The 17,822-nt window shown below is 62.6% G+C and overlaps 3 protein-coding genes across 8 annotated transcripts, besides 7 other annotated features; 2 read left to right on the forward strand and 1 right to left on the reverse strand.

The window, feature by feature from the left end:
- NDOR1 (NADPH dependent diflavin oxidoreductase 1) lies at positions 23–13,684 on the forward strand. Of its 4 annotated transcripts, none has more exons than NM_001144026.3 (14): positions 23–235; positions 555–632; positions 6,825–6,922; positions 8,103–8,201; positions 8,290–8,391; positions 8,527–8,736; positions 8,893–9,014; positions 9,121–9,341; positions 9,418–9,525; positions 9,730–9,844; positions 9,982–10,128; positions 10,222–10,340; positions 10,390–10,511; positions 10,595–13,684. In NM_001144026.3, the coding sequence occupies exons 1-14, from the start codon at positions 101–103 to the stop codon at positions 10,737–10,739; spliced, it is 1,821 nt and encodes a 606-aa protein (NP_001137498.1). In that variant the 5' UTR covers positions 23–100; the 3' UTR covers positions 10,740–13,684. The 4 variants fall into 4 exon arrangements, with proteins under 4 accessions (NP_001137498.1, NP_055249.1, NP_001137500.1 ...); NM_014434.4 differs by having other exon boundaries at positions 10,417–10,511; NM_001144028.3 differs by having other exon boundaries at positions 9,751–9,844; positions 10,417–10,511.
- Positions 11,528–12,267: an enhancer, noted in NCBI's record as "H3K27ac-H3K4me1 hESC enhancer chr9:140111657-140112396 (GRCh37/hg19 assembly coordinates)". NCBI's record gives its function as "activates a minimal SCP1, AML or CMV promoter by ChIP-STARR-seq in naive H9 embryonic stem cells {active_cell/tissue: H9 hESC(naive)}" and the evidence as "EXISTENCE:reporter gene assay evidence [ECO:0000049][PMID:30033119]".
- Positions 11,687–11,864: a silencer, noted in NCBI's record as "fragment chr9:140111816-140111993 (GRCh37/hg19 assembly coordinates)". NCBI's record gives its function as "represses an EF-1alpha promoter that drives an FKBP-Casp9 reporter gene in an ReSE screen in K562 erythroleukemia cells {active_cell/tissue: K562}" and the evidence as "EXISTENCE:reporter gene assay evidence [ECO:0000049][PMID:32094911]".
- On the forward strand, positions 11,817–13,684 carry LOC122513141 (ring finger protein-like). The gene has a single exon (NM_001395982.1). The coding sequence runs from the start codon at positions 12,320–12,322 to the stop codon at positions 12,923–12,925; it is 606 nt and encodes a 201-aa protein (NP_001382911.1). The 5' UTR covers positions 11,817–12,319; the 3' UTR covers positions 12,926–13,684.
- Positions 12,268–13,007: an enhancer, noted in NCBI's record as "H3K27ac-H3K4me1 hESC enhancer chr9:140112397-140113136 (GRCh37/hg19 assembly coordinates)". NCBI's record gives its function as "activates a minimal SCP1, AML or CMV promoter by ChIP-STARR-seq in naive H9 embryonic stem cells {active_cell/tissue: H9 hESC(naive)}" and the evidence as "EXISTENCE:reporter gene assay evidence [ECO:0000049][PMID:30033119]".
- Positions 13,008–13,747: an enhancer, noted in NCBI's record as "H3K27ac-H3K4me1 hESC enhancer chr9:140113137-140113876 (GRCh37/hg19 assembly coordinates)". NCBI's record gives its function as "activates a minimal SCP1, AML or CMV promoter by ChIP-STARR-seq in naive H9 embryonic stem cells {active_cell/tissue: H9 hESC(naive)}" and the evidence as "EXISTENCE:reporter gene assay evidence [ECO:0000049][PMID:30033119]".
- RNF208 (ring finger protein 208) lies at positions 14,582–17,731 on the reverse strand. 3 transcript variants are annotated; one of them, NM_001388298.1, is made up of 2 exons: positions 16,312–17,731; positions 14,582–16,056 (listed from the first exon to the last, which is right to left on the reverse strand). In NM_001388298.1, the coding sequence occupies exon 2, from the start codon at positions 15,533–15,535 to the stop codon at positions 14,750–14,752; it is 786 nt and encodes a 261-aa protein (NP_001375227.1). In that variant the 5' UTR covers positions 15,536–16,056; positions 16,312–17,731; the 3' UTR covers positions 14,582–14,749. The 3 variants fall into 3 exon arrangements, with proteins under 3 accessions (NP_001375227.1, NP_001375226.1, NP_112587.2); NM_001388297.1 differs by having other exon boundaries at positions 14,582–16,061; positions 16,238–17,731; NM_031297.7 differs by having other exon boundaries at positions 14,582–16,061; positions 16,312–16,563.
- Positions 16,116–16,165: a silencer, noted in NCBI's record as "silent region_20592". NCBI's record gives its function as "represses an Ori minimal core promoter by ATAC-STARR-seq in GM12878 lymphoblastoid cells {active_cell/tissue: GM12878}" and the evidence as "EXISTENCE:reporter gene assay evidence [ECO:0000049][PMID:35858748]".
- Positions 17,106–17,155: a silencer, noted in NCBI's record as "silent region_20593". NCBI's record gives its function as "represses an Ori minimal core promoter by ATAC-STARR-seq in GM12878 lymphoblastoid cells {active_cell/tissue: GM12878}" and the evidence as "EXISTENCE:reporter gene assay evidence [ECO:0000049][PMID:35858748]".
- Positions 17,466–17,815: a silencer, noted in NCBI's record as "silent region_20594". NCBI's record gives its function as "represses an Ori minimal core promoter by ATAC-STARR-seq in GM12878 lymphoblastoid cells {active_cell/tissue: GM12878}" and the evidence as "EXISTENCE:reporter gene assay evidence [ECO:0000049][PMID:35858748]".

Here is a 17,822-nt window from a genome sequence, read left to right on the forward strand (position 1 = left end):
TCGACGGCGGAAGGCGGAAGGCGGAGCGGTCCCTGCAACCCGGCCGGCGGGAACTGCCTTCTAGTTTTTAGTCTCAGACCAGACCACCGGGCGCACCCCGATGCCGAGCCCGCAGCTTCTGGTGCTCTTCGGCAGCCAGACAGGCACGGCTCAGGATGTGTCGGAGAGACTGGGTCGCGAGGCCCGGCGCCGGCGGCTTGGCTGCCGGGTGCAGGCCCTGGACTCCTACCCGGTGGTGAGGGCTCGCTAGGGCCTCGGCGTGGGGGACGAGCAGGCCTGGCGTGCCCGCCTCGCGGGGTCATCGACCCAAAAGGCGTCGCATTTTCTCTGAGAGCGGGTCTTTCCCTTATGGCGGATTTAGGGAAGGAGGTTTGGGAAGGGGAGTTCAGTTTAGCACCTGGAGGAGGTTGGAACCTGAAAGAGAAGACGGTCTGGCTGCTCACATAAATCCCTCTGCCCTGTCAGCCTGAGTAAAGGAGAAGGGGGTCAAGTTTTGGGAAGGACGCCCGGTCCTTACAGCCGGAGGTCTTACGTGTGTGTGTCTTTTTGTTGAGGTGAATCTGATTAACGAGCCCCTGGTGATATTTGTTTGTGCAACTACAGGCCAAGGAGACCCCCCTGACAACATGAAGGTAAGGCTGGCCTGATGTGGCTCCTCAGATCCCTGCCCTCGACCCTCACCCCGTTTTCATTGCCTGGCGTCTAGGTGCAGTAAATAGCTCTCCTTTATCTCATGCACCTTCAGAGGTGGATTTGAGAGAACGTCCGTGAGTGGGGCTGGGGGCTCCGGTTGCCCTCTCTAATAAACTCGTCGTAGCCACCAAATAGCCTTATTATCCGTTTTAACCTTTCTTATTTTTCCAGGGCTATCTATATGTGCATCTAGTCTGGGTCTTGTGTGTATTTCTAGACTGTATGACCCTCAGGGAACGTTGCTGAATTCTCTGACCATCTTTTAAGCACATATTCTATTCTTGGCACAGTCTGGTGCTGGGGATCCAGCTGTGAACCCAGCAGCCATATTTCCATCCTGGCAGAGTTCACACTGTAGCAGAAGCAGCTAACGGGCAATGACAGTGCCAGCAAACACCTGCTGCTGGGGAAAGTAGCATATGTCACAGGAGCACTGATAAGGGGCATCGAGCCTTATCTCACCCAACCTTGGGGCCCAGGCAGAGGTTTCTGGAAGAAAAGAGTGTAAGCTGAGTCACGGAAGGATGCGTGAGGGCTAGTCAGGCACCGAGGAAGAAGGAGCAGTCAGCGCAGAGGAAAAAGATGATTTGGTTTGTGTGAAAAGTGGAAAGCAGCTCAGGGTGGCCAAGCTGAGGAGTACACTGGGGCAAGAGGGGAGGAGAAGAGAGGCAGGAAGCCAGGCCCAGTCCAAAGAGCCTGAGTAACCACAGCAAGGCAGATGGGCTTGAAATGAAGGGTTGTCGGAACTGTAGGGGTGACACAGTCATGTTCCTAAGCTAGCAAAACCGCACTGGTCTGCAGGACAGCAGGAATAATGCCATGAGATGCACAGGACAGGCAGCAGATGCTACCGATCTGAGCTGAAGTGGTGGCAGAAGATAGAAGTGGACACATTGCAGTGGTGTCAGGAAGAGAGAGTCCCCGGGACATGGAACGGACCCAATAGGTCAAGCAGAATCGAGACAGGGATGTGGGCTCTGGAACCAAGATGGATGGTGGTTCCATCCACAGAAATCAGAGAACACGGTGGGAGTAGGGGGCTGTGCAGGAAGGGAACCTGGAGACATTGAAGTGGAGAAGTGCAGTAGGACTAGCGCTCCAAGGAAGATCCTGGGGCGGAGATAGGTGTTGAGGTAGCCACAATACAGAAGTGTGAGAAGAGGAAGCTCCTCTCTCCCCACAGGACAGGCTGCCCAGAACGTTAGAGCCCAGGAGGGCAGGAGAGTGACCAAGCAGCTAGAAGAGAGGGTGCAGCACCCCAAGGAGAGGACTGGGGGAGTGAGTGTTCCAGGAAGGGCTCTGGCATGTAAAGCTGCACAGAAGTCAAATCAGATAAAGCCTGAGAGGGATCCATGGGATTTCTTGGCAAAGGGATTGTTGGTGATACCAGGAAGAGCAGCTTCAGTGGCTCATGGGGAGAGAAGCCAGATTACAGGAGATCAGCAACTGAGAGAGTGAGTGGAGAGCATCTTTTAAGAATGTCTTGAGTGCGGGCCGGCTGCGGTGGCTCACGCCTGTAATCTCAGCACTTTGGGAGGCCGAGGCGGGCGAATCACGAGGTCAGGAGTTCGAGACCAGCCTGGCCAACATGGTGAAACCCGTCTCTACTAAAATTACAACAATTAGCTGGGCACGGCGCAGTGGTGCGTGCCTGTAATCCCAGCTACTCGGGAGGCTGAGGCAGGAGAATCACTTAGACCAGGGAGTCGGAAGTTGCAGTGAGCTGAGATTGCGCCACTGCACTCCAGACTGGTGACAGAGCTAGACTCTGTCAAAAAAAAAAAAAAAAAGAAAAAGAGCCGGGCACTGTGGCTCACACCTGTAATCCTAGCACTTTGGGAGGCCGAGGCAGGCAGATCACGAGGTCAGGAGATCGAGACCATCCTGGCTAACACGGTGTGAAACCTCGTCTCTACTAAAAATACAAAAAACTAGCCGGATGTGGTGGCGGGCACCTGTAGTCCCAGCTACTCGGGAGGCTGAGGCAGGAGAATGGCGTGAACCCGGGAGGCGGAACTTGCAGTGAGCCGAGATCGCGCCACTGCACTCCAGCCTGGGCGACAGAGCGAGACTCCGTCTCAAAAACAAAAAAAAGACAAAAAACAAAACAAACAAACAAAAAACCACATCTGGCTGTGAAAAGGCTAAAGAGTTAAAAAGAAGGAGTTTTTTATGAGAGACGTTTGCCGGGCACAGTGGCTCATGCCTGTAATCCCAGCAATTTGGGAGGCCGAGGTGGGAGGATCGCTTGAGCCCAGGAGTTCAAGACCAGACTGGGCAGCATCATGAGACAGAAAATTCAAAGTGAACTGGTGCAGTGGCTCATGCCTGTGATCACAGTTACTCCAGAGGCTGAGGCGGGAGGAGCTCTTGAACTTGGGAGGTTAAAGCTGCAGTGAGCTGTGATCACACCACTACACTCCAGCCTGGGCGACAGAGCAAGACCCTGTCTCAAAAAAAAAAAGACGGGAGAAACTTGACATGTTTTTTTTGTTGTTGTTTGTTGTTGTTGTTGTTGGTTTGTTTTGAGACGGAGTCTCGCTCTGTCGCCCAGGCTGGAGTACAGTGGCGTTGATCCCAGCTCACTGCAAGCACTGCCTCCCGGGTTCGCGCCATTCTCCCGCCTCAGCCTCCCAAGTAGATGGGACTACAGGCGCCGCCACCACGCCCAGCTAATTTTTTGTATTTTTTTAGTAGAGATCGGGTTTCACCGTGTTAGCCAGGATGATCTCAATCTCCTGACCTCGTGATCCACCTGCCTCAGCCTCCCAAAGTGGTGGGATTACAGGCGTGAGCCACCACACCCGGCCAAAACTTGGCATGTTTAATTGCTGGCAGGGGAGAGACAGGAGAAAGAGGCTGAAGACTGAGTAGGTATGGCAGGGGATGTGCAGCGGCTTGGGGGAGAGCTGAACATAGGTCGAGGGGTCTCAGATAGAGTGGGATGGAAGAGAAGGGGTTTCAGAGTGGAGCACAGGCACGGGAGGGGAATGGTGGGATAGGGAAGCCCCAGAGCATGGGAGAGGAGAGGGACTGAGGCTGGGCTGGGCATTCAGTCAGCCAGTGGCAGGAAGCTGGTGCTAATGCCGGGATTCAGGTCAACGAGGAAACGAAGAGTCCCAAGTGTGGGCACCCACAGAGAAGACCAGGAGTTGGAGGGGGCAGCTAATGCCCACAGCGGGAACTGGGAGCTCCTTGAAGAGGCTGTGGACCCAGGGCCCATGGCCTCAGAGGCAGGGGCGAGTCTTAGTGGCTATCCATAGCTAAACCAGAGGACCCTGGCTCTCCATCCACAGCGAAACAGGAAGACCCTGGCTCCTTGCTGAGGATGCTGTAGGTGAGGCAGGTGCCCCCAGCAGCAGACAGGAGAAAACAGAGGAACCACAGTGAAAGGCCAAGTGACCAGGTCCCTGCCTGTCTGGTGAAGAAACCCATGGGGCGCTGGGCGCGCTGGCCCAAGCCTGTAATCCCAACACTTTGGGAGGCCGAGGCGGGTGGATCACCTGAGGTCAGGAGTTTGAGACCAGCCTGGCCAACATGACGAAACCCCATCTCTACTAAAAATACAAAAAATTAGCTGGGTGTATTGGTGCATGCCTGTAATCTCAGCTACTCAGGAGGCTGAGGCAGGAGAATCACTTGAACCCAGGAAGTGGAGGTTGCAGTGAGCCGAGATCACACCACTGCACTCCAGCCTGGGTGAAAACATGCACCAGAAAGAACCACACCCCACCCGAGGAAAGACCCGCATAACAGGCAGAGACGGGCACAGGCTGAAGCAGCCAAGGATGTTACCCCCACGGGGCAAAGCTGGAGACTCAGGAACAGGAAACAGTTTTTTCTCTTTCTCTTTTTCTTTTTCTTTCTGGAGACAGAGCTCTTGCTCTGTTGCCCAGGCTGGAGTGCAGTGGCAGCCATCAACGGCTCACTGCCCCCTGACCTTCCAGACTCAGGTGATCCTCCCACCTCAGCCTCCTGGGTAGCAGGGACTGCAGGTGCGCACCACCACATGCAACTAATTTTTTTTTTTTTTTGTATTTTTTGTAGAGATGGGGTCTCAAGCTTCTGGGCTCAAGCAGTCTGCCTGCCTCATCCTCCCAAAGTGCTAGGTTTGCAGGTGTGAGCCACCACACCTGGCCAGAAATAGTTCTTTAAATGGACATGAAAAAACTTTAAAAGATTAGAAGACGCTGGGCACAGTGGCTCAAGCCTGGAATCCCAGCGCTTTGAGAAGCCAAGGTGTGGGAGGATCGCTTGAGCCCAGGAGTTTGAGACCAGCCTGGGCAACATGACGAAACCCAGTCTCTACAAACAAAATAATAATAAATTAGCTGGGCGTGGTGACACACACCTGTAATCCCCACTACTTGGGAGGCTGAGGTTGGAGGATCGCTTGAGCCCAGAAGGTCAAGGCTGCAGTGAGCTGTGATTTCAAGACTGCATTCCAGCTTGGATGACAGAATGAGACCCTGTCTCAACAACAAAAAAGGCCGGGCACGACGGCTCACGCCTGTAATACCAACACTTTGGGAGGCCGAGGTGGGTGGGTCACTTGAGGTTAGGAGTTCGAGACCAGCTTGGCCAACATGGTGAAACCCTGTCTCTACTAAAAATACAAAAATTAGCCGGGCATGGTGGCACGCACCTGTAATCCCAGCTACTTGGGAGGCTGAGGCAGGAGAATCACTTGAACCTGGGAGGCGGAGGTTGCGGTGAGCTGAGGTCGCACCATTGCACTCCAGCCTGGGCTACAGAGTGAGACTCCATCTCAAAAAAAGATGAGAAATCCTTCTAGAAAGTATGACAAAAAGCAAGATAGAAAATGGAAGGAAGCAGATACCAAAATTCGAAGATAATTCCAGTGGCCTCAGAATGAGAAGACAATGGTGGAGAGGAAGTTATCCAGGAAAGTAATGATGTCTAGAGCGGGGTCTGCGGCCAGAGAGCCCCATGCCCAGGAAGGGCCCTGCTGAGAATGAAAGGGCTACCCCCGGGGCATGTCACTGTGGGTTTAGCCTCTGGGGACAGAGTGCCCTACACACCCCAAGGGCAGCAAGTGGGGCCCTGGCTTTTCAGTGGTGGTGCCAAGCCCAGGACAGACCCAGCCGCATGCCAGTCGAGTGAGGGAAAAGTCACAAGAATGTTCTCTCCAGAACCCTTTTCTCGGGAAGGAGGAAGTTCACCAAACGGAGCAGGGAAGAGAGTCTTTTGGGATTCAGGAAGCAAGGGTGTCTCAACAGCAGGGCGCTAGGGAGGGTCTCGGGGGCAAGAGGCTGGGTACATTTGCTCGCATAGCGTGGCCCAGAGAGGCAGCTGATGAGGCAGTGAGGTCCCGGGAGGCCAGGGGTGGTCCAGGGCCAGGGTCAGAGCTGTGGGCTGACAAGGCCAGGGCCTCCCTGTCTGCTAGCCTCCATGCTTGGCCACGGGAAGGGGAGGTGGGTGGGCGGCGAAGACCACGCACACAGGCCACCTGGGATCCAGGTAGGGAGGGGGCAGTAGGTTCCTTGGGGGGGCCTCTGATCAAGCTGGGAGGACACCGTGGAAGGCACGGTGTGGAACCAGAGGATCTGGACCCTGTTGGCTCGAGGTCCTGCAGCCACGGAAGGAGGGGGATGTGTCTCAGCGACACTGGAACCTCAGAGGGCCGAGTGTGAGAGCCCTTGGGATGGACCTCAGAGGTCTGAGTATAGGAGCCTCTGGGACAGACCAACTCAGGGAGTGGAGGCCCACGCTCTGGCTGGGAAATGACAGGTGGAGGTGAGGGACCCCTGGGGCGGTGGACAGTTTGGAGACCAAGTGCAGAGCTGCTCCTGGCAGCTCAGAGCCTGGGGCAGAGGAGGGTGATGTCCCAGGAAGGAAGCTCCACGCAGGCCTGTAGAGCACAGCAGGGTCTGGCTCCTGTGGGCAGGGTGGGACCTGGTCTCCCTAGACGCTGGACCAGCCCTGCCTCCTCCCGGTGCCCATCATCCTGCAGGCTGGACCTGGGCCCTGCCTTTTGGTCAGATAGGTCCAGTTGTATTCTGCCCCCATCCTACCCACCTGCCTGTTCCCCTGAGACCCTCCCCTCACCCCCTGCTGTGGGGCTAGCCTAGAGGTCGAGGACTCTGACTCAGAGTTTCCTCCGGCTGTAGAACTTCTGGAGGTTTATATTCCGGAAGAACCTGCCCTCCACTGCCCTCTGTCAGATGGACTTTGCCGTCCTGGGCCTCGGGGACTCCTCATACGCCAAGTGAGTAGGGGATGGGACAGTGGGCGGACGGAACAGTTCTGGGGGTCGAGCAACAGGTGTGCTGGCAGAGGACCGAGACCAGCTTCCAGGGTCGGCCCCTGCGCGCCTCAGGGCCCTCGCAGTGGTACTGGCTTCTCCACAACGCTCCCTGGTGGGCACCCCAGGCTTCACGCTGCGGGGAGGGCACAGAGGGGAGCAGGCAGGGTGGCAAAGGGCTGGGCTCCAGCCACGCTGACGTCACACAGGCCTACCTGGCGCCGGTCCCCACTTTTACAAAAAGGCGTGCTGTGAAGTGTTGACGACTTTGAGCCTGGAGGAGGACCCCGTATGCTCCTGCCACCCCAGAGGCCACCTCTGCCTTTTCTCCTGGGCATTTTCACAGTGCTCCTCTGCACCCTAAGCAAGGAGTGGCATGTTCAGTGTGCAAATGGCATCTTTAGACCCCACAACGGTGAAAACCCCGACTGTCCACGTAGGGCCCAGGTCCGCTGAGCACCGAGCATCAAAAGCCGTTTGCATAGCCAGGTGTCAGTCATTTCAGATGAAAAAGAACGGGAAGATCGGAGACAGCTCCCCCCGGTTCTGCCGGGAGGTTTTGTTCCGTGCGTGACGTAGGTCCGTGCATGACGTTGTTTCCTGCGTGACGTTGTTCTGTGTGGGACACAGTGTTCGTTCAAGAGAGGGAGGGAGGCCGCTGCCGACAGCGTTCCCAGGGAGGAGCGTGACCCAGAGCCAGTCATGCCTCGGAACCAGAGTGAGAAGAGAAACTGACCCCCGGGAAGATGCCTGGCTCTCTCCCCAGCACAGAGTTTCTCAGCTGAGGAGTGACCCACATCTTGGCTGGGGGCCTGGAGGCCTCAGCTGCCTCAAGTCCCTGCCCAGGGATGAGGGCCCATCAGTGGGACGAGGCCGCCTGCTCCCACCCACACAGGCTCATTCTCTGCGAGCAGAGGACCTGCTGCTTGGCACCCTGGCAGCTGCCCTGGTCTCGGCAGCCCCTGGCGTGTGGAGGCCCTGCCCCCTCCTAGGGTGCGGCCAGCGTGGAGTGTGTTTTCCACCCGAGGGAGGCCCTCCCCAGGCTCCACTCTTCGCCCGGGCTCCACTCTCCCGGGTTCCACTCTGCCTGGGCACCACTCTCCGCCCGGGCTCCAGCCCAGGACCAGCCTCACTGTCTCCACAGGTTCAACTTCGTGGCCAAGAAGCTGCACCGACGGCTACTGCAGCTTGGGGGCAGCGCCCTCCTGCCCGTGTGCCTGGGCGATGACCAGCATGAGCTGGGGTGAGTCTGCGGGCGTGGTACCCGCCTCCACAGTCTGGTCTGGCCACACGCAGGGTCCGCTCAGGCCAGCGCACGTGCTCCCTCCCAGGCCCGACGCTGCTGTGGACCCCTGGCTGCGAGACTTGTGGGACAGGGTTCTGGGGCTGTACCCGCCGCCTCCGGGCCTCACTGAGATCCCTCCCGGAGTCCCGTGAGTGTGGGCCCCGGGTCACCCACAGGCGCAGCAGACCCAACCTGGCCTGGGGACCTCGCCCTGGGTCCCTCCCGTGTGGGTGGGCGGCCCCTGGGGAGTGGGTCCTGGTCTGACCAGCGTGCCCTCCCACAGCCTGCCCTCCAAGTTCACCCTGCTGTTCCTCCAAGAGGCACCCAGCACGGGCTCTGAGGGGCAGCGGGTAGCTCACCCCGGCTCTCAGGAGCCCCCGTCAGAGTCGAAGCCCTTCCTAGCACCCATGATCTCCAACCAGAGAGTCACCGGCCCCTCCCACTTCCAGGACGTTCGGCTGATTGAGTTTGACATCTTGGGCTCTGGCATCAGGTGGGGACTGCTGGGGACCGAGGAGGGCAAGGTGAGGTGGGCCGTGGGTCTGGGGTTCGGAGGAGGCTGGGCCGGGCTGCAGGGGATGACTTCTATCCGGGGCCCCGACATCCTCCCTGCGGCGTCCCCACAGCCCTGGTGGCTTCTTCCACACAGCTTTGCTGCTGGTGATGTGGTGCTGATTCAGCCCTCCAACTCGGCTGCCCATGTCCAGCGGTTCTGCCAGGTGCTGGGCCTGGACCCTGACCAGCTCTTCATGCTGCAGCCGCGGGAGCCAGGTGAGCCCAGCCTCGGCCACCCTGACTCTCTGCCCTCTCCCGTGCCCTGGGCCCCCACCCCAAGGGCTCCGCCGCAGCCCACGGAGGCCTCCCACTCACCCTGCAGATGTCTCCTCCCCCACGAGGCTGCCCCAGCCCTGCTCCATGCGGCACCTCGTGTCCCACTACCTGGACATCGCCAGCGTGCCTCGCCGCTCCTTCTTCGAACTCCTGGCCTGTCTATCCCTCCATGAGCTGGAGCGGGAGAAGCTGCTGGAGTTCAGTTCTGCCCAAGGCCAGGAGGAGCTCTTTGAATACTGCAACCGGCCCCGCAGGACCATCCTGGAGGTGAGATGGGAGGGCGGCAGGCCCAGCCCCTGAGCTACAGCCACGCTGCAGCCACCCTGAGACTCTCTTTGCCTAGGTGCTCTGTGACTTCCCGCACACAGCTGCCGCCATCCCTCCCGACTACCTGTTGGACCTCATCCCCGTTATCCGGCCGAGGGCCTTCTCCATCGCCTCCTCGCTGCTGGTGAGGGGCCTGGTGGTTGGAGCCCAGGACCGGCCCTGGGAAAGCTGGGACCGGGGCTGTGGGGTTTTGTAAGCAGGGGCTGCCCTCTGACCAGGTGACGTTCCCCCAGTCGGACTGCCTCTGCGGGAGGTAGGTGGGGCCCACGGCCCAGGCACAGGTGAGGGCAGCCTTGTTCCACCACCCCCACCCCGCCGTCCTCCCCAGACTCACCCCTCACGGCTGCAGATCCTCGTGGCTGTAGTGCAGTTCCAGACTCGCCTCAAGGAGCCCCGCCGGGGCCTCTGCTCCTCCTGGCTGGCATCCCTGGACCCTGGGCAAGGTGACCCCTGCTCCCAGGGTGGGGGCCGTGGGCCCATATCCCCTTCTCTCCCATGCTCATGCAAATGCTGGGCTAGGGCCCCAGCAGACTCAGCACAGGTCTTTGATCCTCTTCATGCCACCTCCTTCCTGCAATAGGACCTGTCCGGGTGCCCCTCTGGGTGCGGCCTGGGAGTCTGGCCTTCCCAGAGACACCAGACACACCTGTGATCATGGTGGGGCCTGGCACTGGGGTAGCCCCCTTCCGAGCAGCCATCCAGGAGCGTGTGGCCCAGGGCCAGACTGGTGAGCACCCAGGGTCTCCGGGCAGGGTTGTTGCCAGGGCTCCCCAGCTGAACCTCAAGGACCTGTGGCCAAGAGCACCCTGTATTTCCCTAGGAAACTTCTTGTTTTTTGGCTGCCGCTGGCGGGACCAAGACTTCTACTGGGAGGCTGAGTGGCAGGAGCTGGAGAAGCGGGACTGTCTGACCCTCATCCCTGCCTTCTCCCGGGAACAGGTGTGTATGCTCAGGGGCTGGGAAAGGAGGGGAGGGAGCTCCGGCTCAGCCCCCAGCCCTGTTCTCTGCCCTACAGGAGCAGAAAGTATATGTGCAGCACCGGCTCCGGGAGCTGGGGTCGCTTGTGTGGGAACTGCTGGACCGCCAGGGTGCATACTTCTACCTGGCAGGGTGAGCTGGCCTGCGTGCAGCAGGAGTGGGCCCAGCCCCTGAGTGCCAGGCCTCATTGCGCCTTCTGCGACCTGCCCCTCTAGCAACGCCAAGTCCATGCCAGCGGACGTCTCGGAAGCCCTGATGTCCATCTTCCAGGAGGAGGGTGGACTCTGCAGCCCGGACGCAGCCGCGTATCTAGCCAGGCTCCAGCAGACACGGCGCTTCCAGACAGAGACGTGGGCCTGAGGCCCGCGGCTGCCCGTGCCCCCTCTGACAGCCATCCTCCTGGGAGCCCAGGAAGGCATCCACGAGGGAGCTCCTGGCCAGCAGCCGTCATCCTCTCGGACCAGCCAGCTGGTCCTCTGGGAACAGCCAGCTCCCGAGCACAGCCGCACTCCTGTTGACCCTGGATCCCACCCTTTGAGCCTGACCCCACTGCAGCCTCTGCCCAGCCAGCCCTGCGCTCCCCCACCCTGACAGTGAGCTGTGTCCTCGTCCCCCCACCCCCTTCCCAGTCAAGGTGGTGGCCTGGGCCGCTCCACCTCACCGGTGCAGTGACCCAGGACGGCATCAGCAGCCCAGTGAGCACCAGGGGTGGCATAGGGCACCCATGAGGCTGCGCTGCACTCCTCTGCCCTGGGGCCACCTCGGCTGCTGCAGCCTGCCCAGCAGCACATTCCAGTCACTGCCCCCGCACTCCCACAGGGCTCAGGCTGGGCTCAGAGGCCACTGAGATGCCAGCTCCTTGAGAGCAGTGGGGGTGTCCCAGGCCAGAGCAGCCTCTTCCTCTCCTGGTCCCAGAAAAACCCTTGCAGTAAATGGTGGCCTCTGGGTGGTTACTTCTAGCGCAGGCTTCCTTCCTTCCTCTAGCTCCTCCCGGTGCCCTGGGTGCTGGGTGCTGGATGGATGGGCGTCCTCTAGCTCCTCCCGGTGCCCTGGGTGCTGGGTGCTGGATGGGTGGGCGTCCTCTAGCTCCTCCCGGTGCCCTGGGTGCTGGGTGCTGGATGGGTGGGCGCCACGGTGCACCCTTGTTGGGCTGCCTGTGCCCGAGTGGCCTCTGCAGCTCTTATGTCTGCCTCTAATGGGATGTGCGCCCTGACTGCCTCGTTCTTAAGGGCATAGTGGGTCGGCTAAGATCTGATCGCCAGGACTGCGTTCTGGGCAGGTGCTGGGAAGGCGGAACCAAGCCGTCCGTGCCGCTAGGGAGCCGAGACTGCCGGAAAGAGGAGCGGCAGGAGGGGGCGTGGTTGTGCAGCCCCACCCCCGGGAGGGGCTTTAGGCACTGGGAAGGAAAGTCCTGTTGGAGGAGTTCGGTGGCTGTTCACACCCGCCTCGCTGTCTTGGAGTCTTGATCTGTCGTCGGCGGGTCGCTGGCACAGGACTAAACATGGCTGAGGCTGGGCTCCAGCCAGATCTGGCTGGGGACAGCACCGCGTGGGCCCAGGATCCACCCAGAGCAGGCAGGCCTTGCTGGGGCCCCAGTCAAGTCCACTTCCAGTGAGGAGAGCCAGCCGGGAGGTCAGTGCCAGAGCTCTGGTGGAGCCCAGACCCTGCCTTCCCTGAGGGCCGCCCCTGTCGCCGCCCTGGGGTCCCTGTCCTCCTATCCTGACTCCTGCCCCAGGGCCACCACCCCTGAACTGTGCCCTGGGGCCCCCACCCTCCACCTGGCCGACTCCAGCTCTGGGCCTGTCAGTCCACCTGGGTCCTCTCTGGGCCCTGAGTGCCTGGACCCTCTGTGCCAAGCACCAGCAAGCAAAGGGGATGACCTTGGGCACCCCCAAGGTGCTGAGACTACAGCCAGTGAGCCCCTGCTGGGGGCCAAAGCCATGGAGGGTGCCTGGGCCCTTCCAACCTGGAAGGAGGAGGGGAGAGAGCAGGCAGCAGGGCAGGGGGAAGAGGAGGAGTGCCCGATCTGCACAGAGCCCTACGGGCCCAGAGAGCGCCGCCTGGCCCTGCTGAACTGTAGCCACGGCCTGTGTGTGGGCTGCCTGCACAGGCTGCTGGGCTCGGCCTCCAGTGCCGACCTGGGCCGGGTGCGCTGCCCGCTGTGCCGCCAGAAGACGCCCGTGCTGGAATGGGAGATCTGCCGGCTACAGGAGGAGCTGCTACAGGCCGACGGGCCCTCACGCCAGCCCCGCCGAGAGGCCCCTGCATCCTATCACCGCAACCCTGGGCCCTGGGGCTCCCTGGAGCACCGCTACCAGCTGCGCTTCCTGGCAGGGCCCGTGGGCGGCCGGGGCTGCCTGCCCTTCCTGCCCTGTCCACCCTGCCTGGGTGCCCGGCTCTGGACCCTGCGGGAGCGGGGACCCTGTGCCCGCCGCCTGGCGCTGCTGAGCCTGCTGGCCCTTGAGCTTCTGGGGCTGCTGCTGGTCTTCACGCCGCTCCTGCTGCTGGGACTGCTCTTCGTGCTCCTGGACCGCTCTGGCCGCTGAGCAGAGCCCAGGACAGCCCCGCCGCCAACAGGCCAGGGGGCCCAGACTGGCCCACGTCCCCATGCCTGGGTGCTGTGAGGCCTGATGACCAGGCTGGAAAAACCCAAGGTTGGGTCCAGGGCAGTGGCCTTCAATCAAGACCTCCCATTGCTGAACCCACAACCAGGGCTACCCAGAGGCCTGACCCTGCCAGAGTCCATGGCTGCACTGCTGCCCAGACACTAGCTGAACCCAAGGACACCAGCGCCCAAGGACAGCTCCTGGAGGAGGCCAGCCCAGCAGGAAAGTCTGTGAGCAGGACCCCATTCACCCTGCGGCAGACGGGCACCGTACTGGCCACGGGCTGACGCCGGCCACACTTCCCCTCCGAGGGCCAGCTGAGCACAGCAGGCATGAAAGCAAACAGAGATACAGCAGTGAGTCAGTTCCTTGGAGAGGGCAGGGACTCCGCCCACCCTGTGTTCAGATAAGGGCCAGTGTGTGTCCCTGAAGGTCAGGCCAGCCGGGGGAGGGGTCCATGCTGCGAAAATTCAGCCTGCAAAGGCTCCTCTCCCCACTTGATCAGGCCCAGACCAGGTGGGGGTTGGCGCTGGCCTGTGTTGCAGGGGACAAGGGCCCACCCAGGCCTTGGAACATAAGCTCTGCCCCTGCACACCCTCATGTCACCACACCTGGGATGGAGACATCAGGTGGCCCAGCGAGAGATGGAGGACTGATCCTGGAACGTGAAGCAGCTTTCAATAAACCAGCTCCTGGGGATGCCATTGTTACTACTTGTCTTTGTTACCCCATCTTCACCATCTGGGCGGGCTTTTTTTTTTTTTTTTTTTTTTTGAGACAGAGCGTCACTTAGTCACTCAGGCTAGAGTGCAGTGGCACGATCTCTGCTCACTGCAACCTCCACCTCCCGAGTTCAAGCAATTCTTTTGCCTCACCCTCCTGAATAGCTGGGATTACAGACATGCACCACCACACCTGGATAATTTTTTTTGTATTTTTAGTAGAGAAGAGGTTTCACCACGTTGGCCAGCCTGGTTTTGAACTCCTGACCTCAGGTGATCCATCCGCCTTGGCCTCCCAAAGTGCTGGGATTACAGGCGTGAGACACCGCACCCAGCCTGGGGCGGGCTCTTCCTCCCACCCAAGTGGTCCAGGTGCCAGACAGGAGGCGCTGGGTCCTTATTCCCCTACCACCATTTCAGCCAGTCTTTGTCCCTAACTCCTGCACATGCCCAAAGGCTACTCCCACACAACCCTGGAAGACCCAGGTGGGTGCTCAGGTCCAGATGGGCACCAGGAGGGAAATCAACTGAGTTGTCCCCCACACAGGCACCCCCACACCATTGAAAATGTCCTCTCTGCCCAGCTGGGGTGTCTCTGCACACCCACCAGGTAGTCCTGCCAGGCGCACACAAGCAGCCCACTCTGTACGTGTGGGGGTTTGCACCGACACAGCCCACCCGGCCCTCCTGAGCTGCATGCACAGCCCAGCCTGGCCCCCAGTGCGCAGGGCAGGCCCAACCCGAGCAGCGCTGGGCCTCTCTCTGGCAGCTCCAAGCTGGGCCCTCTCTGGGTTGCAGCCCTGGGTGCCCACCCTAGGCCCAGGCCTGAGCACAGCCCACAGGAGCAAGCTTCAGTCCAGGAACAGGTGCAAACTTTGGCAAAGAGTTTTAATGGCAAAGTTGGCTGCAGCGACAATGCCACTCGGGGTGGGGCCGGAAGCCATGGTGGGGAAGGAAGGGTCAGCGGGCGGCAGGGCAGGGCCGGGTCCCTGAAGAAGCAGCGAGCGAGGCTCAGCGGGCAGTGGCGGGCAGGCAGGCGCTACTACATGATGGAGCAGGCGGACAGTGGGTTCCGCACGTGGCAGGTGCACGCGGCCCCACAGTACTGCCGGAAGGTCTGGTAGCAGCTGCCCTCGGGCTCAGCCCCCCACTGACCCCCGGATGGGGCCGTCAGCGCCTCAGGCGGCAGGCGGCTCAGGATGGACGTGTTGACAGCCAGCGCGGCCAGGCCGTAGTCGGTGAAGAGCACAGTCTCACGGCGGCAGGTGGGGCAGGAGATGAACTTGTACTTGGGGCAGGACTCGTAGAGAATCTGCAGGCACTGCTCACACACAGAGTGCAGGCAGGACAGCACGCGGGGCCTCCGCTGGGTGACATTGTAGGAGTGCCCACAGGTGGGGCACTCCAGGGGCTCGCCTGCCGCCGCCGAAGAAGCCGCCGAGGCCGAGGGGCCAGGCCGAATCACGTACTGATTCACAATGACCTCATCCTCTGGGGCCACGCGGGGAAAGCCCAGCTCCGAGCTTCCCTTACGGGGCCGCCGTGGCAGTGGCGGGGTATGGGGTGCCCCTTCCAAGGCAGGCATGTCCCCCCCACAGGCCTGGTTGACAATGATCTCTGTGTCTGAGGGCCAGGCACGCTTGGGTGCCAGAGTTGGGGTGGGCCGGGGAGCAGGCGGGAAGCAGGGGGCAGCCGGTAGCTCAGGGAACTTTTCAGGGTGGACAATCTTCATGGCCTCCATCTTGAGGATGACATGGGGACCCTTCAGGCAGGACATGAGGAGGCCCGGCCAGCCACTGCCCGCCTCGGGCCCGGGGTCAGAGGGCATCCGGCTGTCTCCAGTCAGACTGGATGTTCGGGTGGGTGGGGGCGTTGTGTGGGGCTGGGGGGCAGGTGACAGGGCAGCATCCTGGTCCCGCCAGGCCTGGGGGGGGCCCCGGACGGCCCGTGGACTCCTAGGGACAGCCGGCGAGAGTTGGGGGTGCAGGGCCCCCCCCAGTGGCCACAGTGGCTTCTCTGGTCCAGTCCTGGGAGGAGGAGGAAGGGGTGGGGGAGGGGGAGGCAGGCGGGGGCAGGGAGGGGTGGGAGGCTGCCCTGGGCTGGGGGTCTGGCCCAGGGTCTCACCCAGGGTCTCTGGCTGCTGAGGCTGGCGAGGGGGCGCGGGGGGGGCTCCCCCTGCAGCCGAGGTCAGCAGGCCGCGGGCCGGGACATCGGGGCAGGCAGGGGCTGGGTGGGCCCCATGGCTCCAGGACAGGGCGCCCAGGGAAGGCAGCTAGCCGAAGCGCTGGCTGCAGGAGGACCGGGGCGGCAGGCTCCGCGGCAGGAGCAGAGGCGAGGCCTGGGCCAGGCCTGAGCTGCAGGTGAGAGACGGCATGAGGGCAGTGCCCCGGCCACCCCCACCCTAGCCCTCGCCCTGCACAAAGGACCGGGCGCCCGACCTCTGACCCTGACCTCAGCCGTGGGATCCCGACCTCCGCGGGCCTCAGAACCCAACCCCCTCCCCGGTCCCCGCCTCCAAGGCCAGACGCACCTTCCCGAGGGCCGACCCCCGTCGCGTGGGGAGGGGCGCTGAGTCCGCCCCCGGCCCCCGCCCCCTGCGCTCACCTGCCCCAGCCTGGCGTCCCGGCCGCGCGCCGCCGCCGCAGAGGTTGTCTCAAAGGCAGGCCCGGACGCGGCGCCCGCGCCTCGGCCCGGCAGCTCGGGGGGCTCCGGCGGCTCCGGCGGCGGCCGCAGCGACCTCAGGCGATGGCGGGGCCCGGGCGGCACCGAGGGGCGCGGGCGCGGGCGTGGGGCGCGGGGCGCGGGTTTCGGCACGGCGGCGACGGCGGCAGGTGCGTGCGGAGCGTGGCGCGCTCTGCGGCGGAGGCGCGGGGACCGCAGTGCGCGCGGCGCCCGCCCGCGCCCGCAGCGCCACCCCCCGTCTGGGGACCCGCGCGGGGTCCGCGGGGCGGGGCCAGCCTCCCGGCCGCCCCTCGGTCCGCTCCCGGCGTCGCTCTCGCCCGCGGACTGCGTGGGGGGCAGGACCCCCGCGTCGCCCCCAGTTCTCTCCAGGCTGATCCTGGGTCCTGGTCAAGCCCCCGCCCCCCCAGATTCAGGAGGAGAATCCGGCTGTTCTCCTCCCTCACAGTAGGAGGCCTCAGGACTCTGGAGTGAGAGGGAGGGGACCTGCGCGGAGGATCCCAGGGGAGCTGGTTCCAGGGCCCACCGGTGCCTTCCCCCGTCCCCGGCCCCCCGCCCCATGGGAAGGCCCCGAGTCCTCCAGCTCCGCCTGTGCCCGGTGCCGTAGCTCAGATAGATCGCTGTGACTCTAAGGGGCAAGAGCGGGGCGGGCGGAGCGGATCAGAAGGCCGAGGCCGGTGGACGGACGGGTCCGGTGGGAGTGCGCGAAGGACAGGCTGGCAGCCCAGTGCGGGGTGGAGGCGGCCCTGAGGACCGCACCTGCCCGGACAGGGTGGCCCCTGGCACTCCAGCGCGCAGGCCCGGGCCTCTCCGCTTCCTCACCCGGGGCTTCCCTGCCCTCCTGGGTCCGCCTTCTGCCTGTGGAGCCCTCGGGCTTGCTGGTCACCGTGAGGCAGGGGACCAGGGCTTCGAGGGCCTCCGCTGCCACGCTGTGACCAGCTCTGGCCCCGCACCTGGCCCTGGACATCCTGGCCTCCTTCAGCTCCTCTCTCCGCTGGACTGGCCAGACCGCACCTGCTCTAGGCAGAGCCCCAGGGCCTGCAGAGTGCTGAGCCCAGAGGGGACGGTGCCGCTGGTGCGGGAGCTCGCGTGGGCAAAACAGGCTGGAGGAGCAGCCCTGCGCATAGGGTCTGGCTTGGCCCCTCTGTGGGGCCTCGGGCGAGTGTCACTCAGAAGAGCAATAGGGAGAGGTGTGCGGGTGACAGGGGCGCTGCTGGAGGGGTCCTTACGGGGCCCTGGCAAGATGGTGGGGCAACTGAGGCAGCCTGGGCCTGGGGAGGGCCGGGAGCCCAGCTCCGCCGCAGACTCTGCTCACCGACCCGGCGTGCGCCCGAGGAAGCACCAGGCCGCAGGCCCCGCCCCCTCAGCGAGACCCCACCCCGTAGGGGATGAGATCCCGCCCCCGCCACGAGGCCCCGCCCCCCAGGCCAGGCCTT

This window comes from Homo sapiens, chromosome 9 (assembly GCF_000001405.40).
Source record: "Homo sapiens chromosome 9, GRCh38.p14 Primary Assembly".
In the NCBI taxonomy this organism is placed as follows: Eukaryota; Metazoa; Chordata; class Mammalia; order Primates; family Hominidae; genus Homo; species Homo sapiens.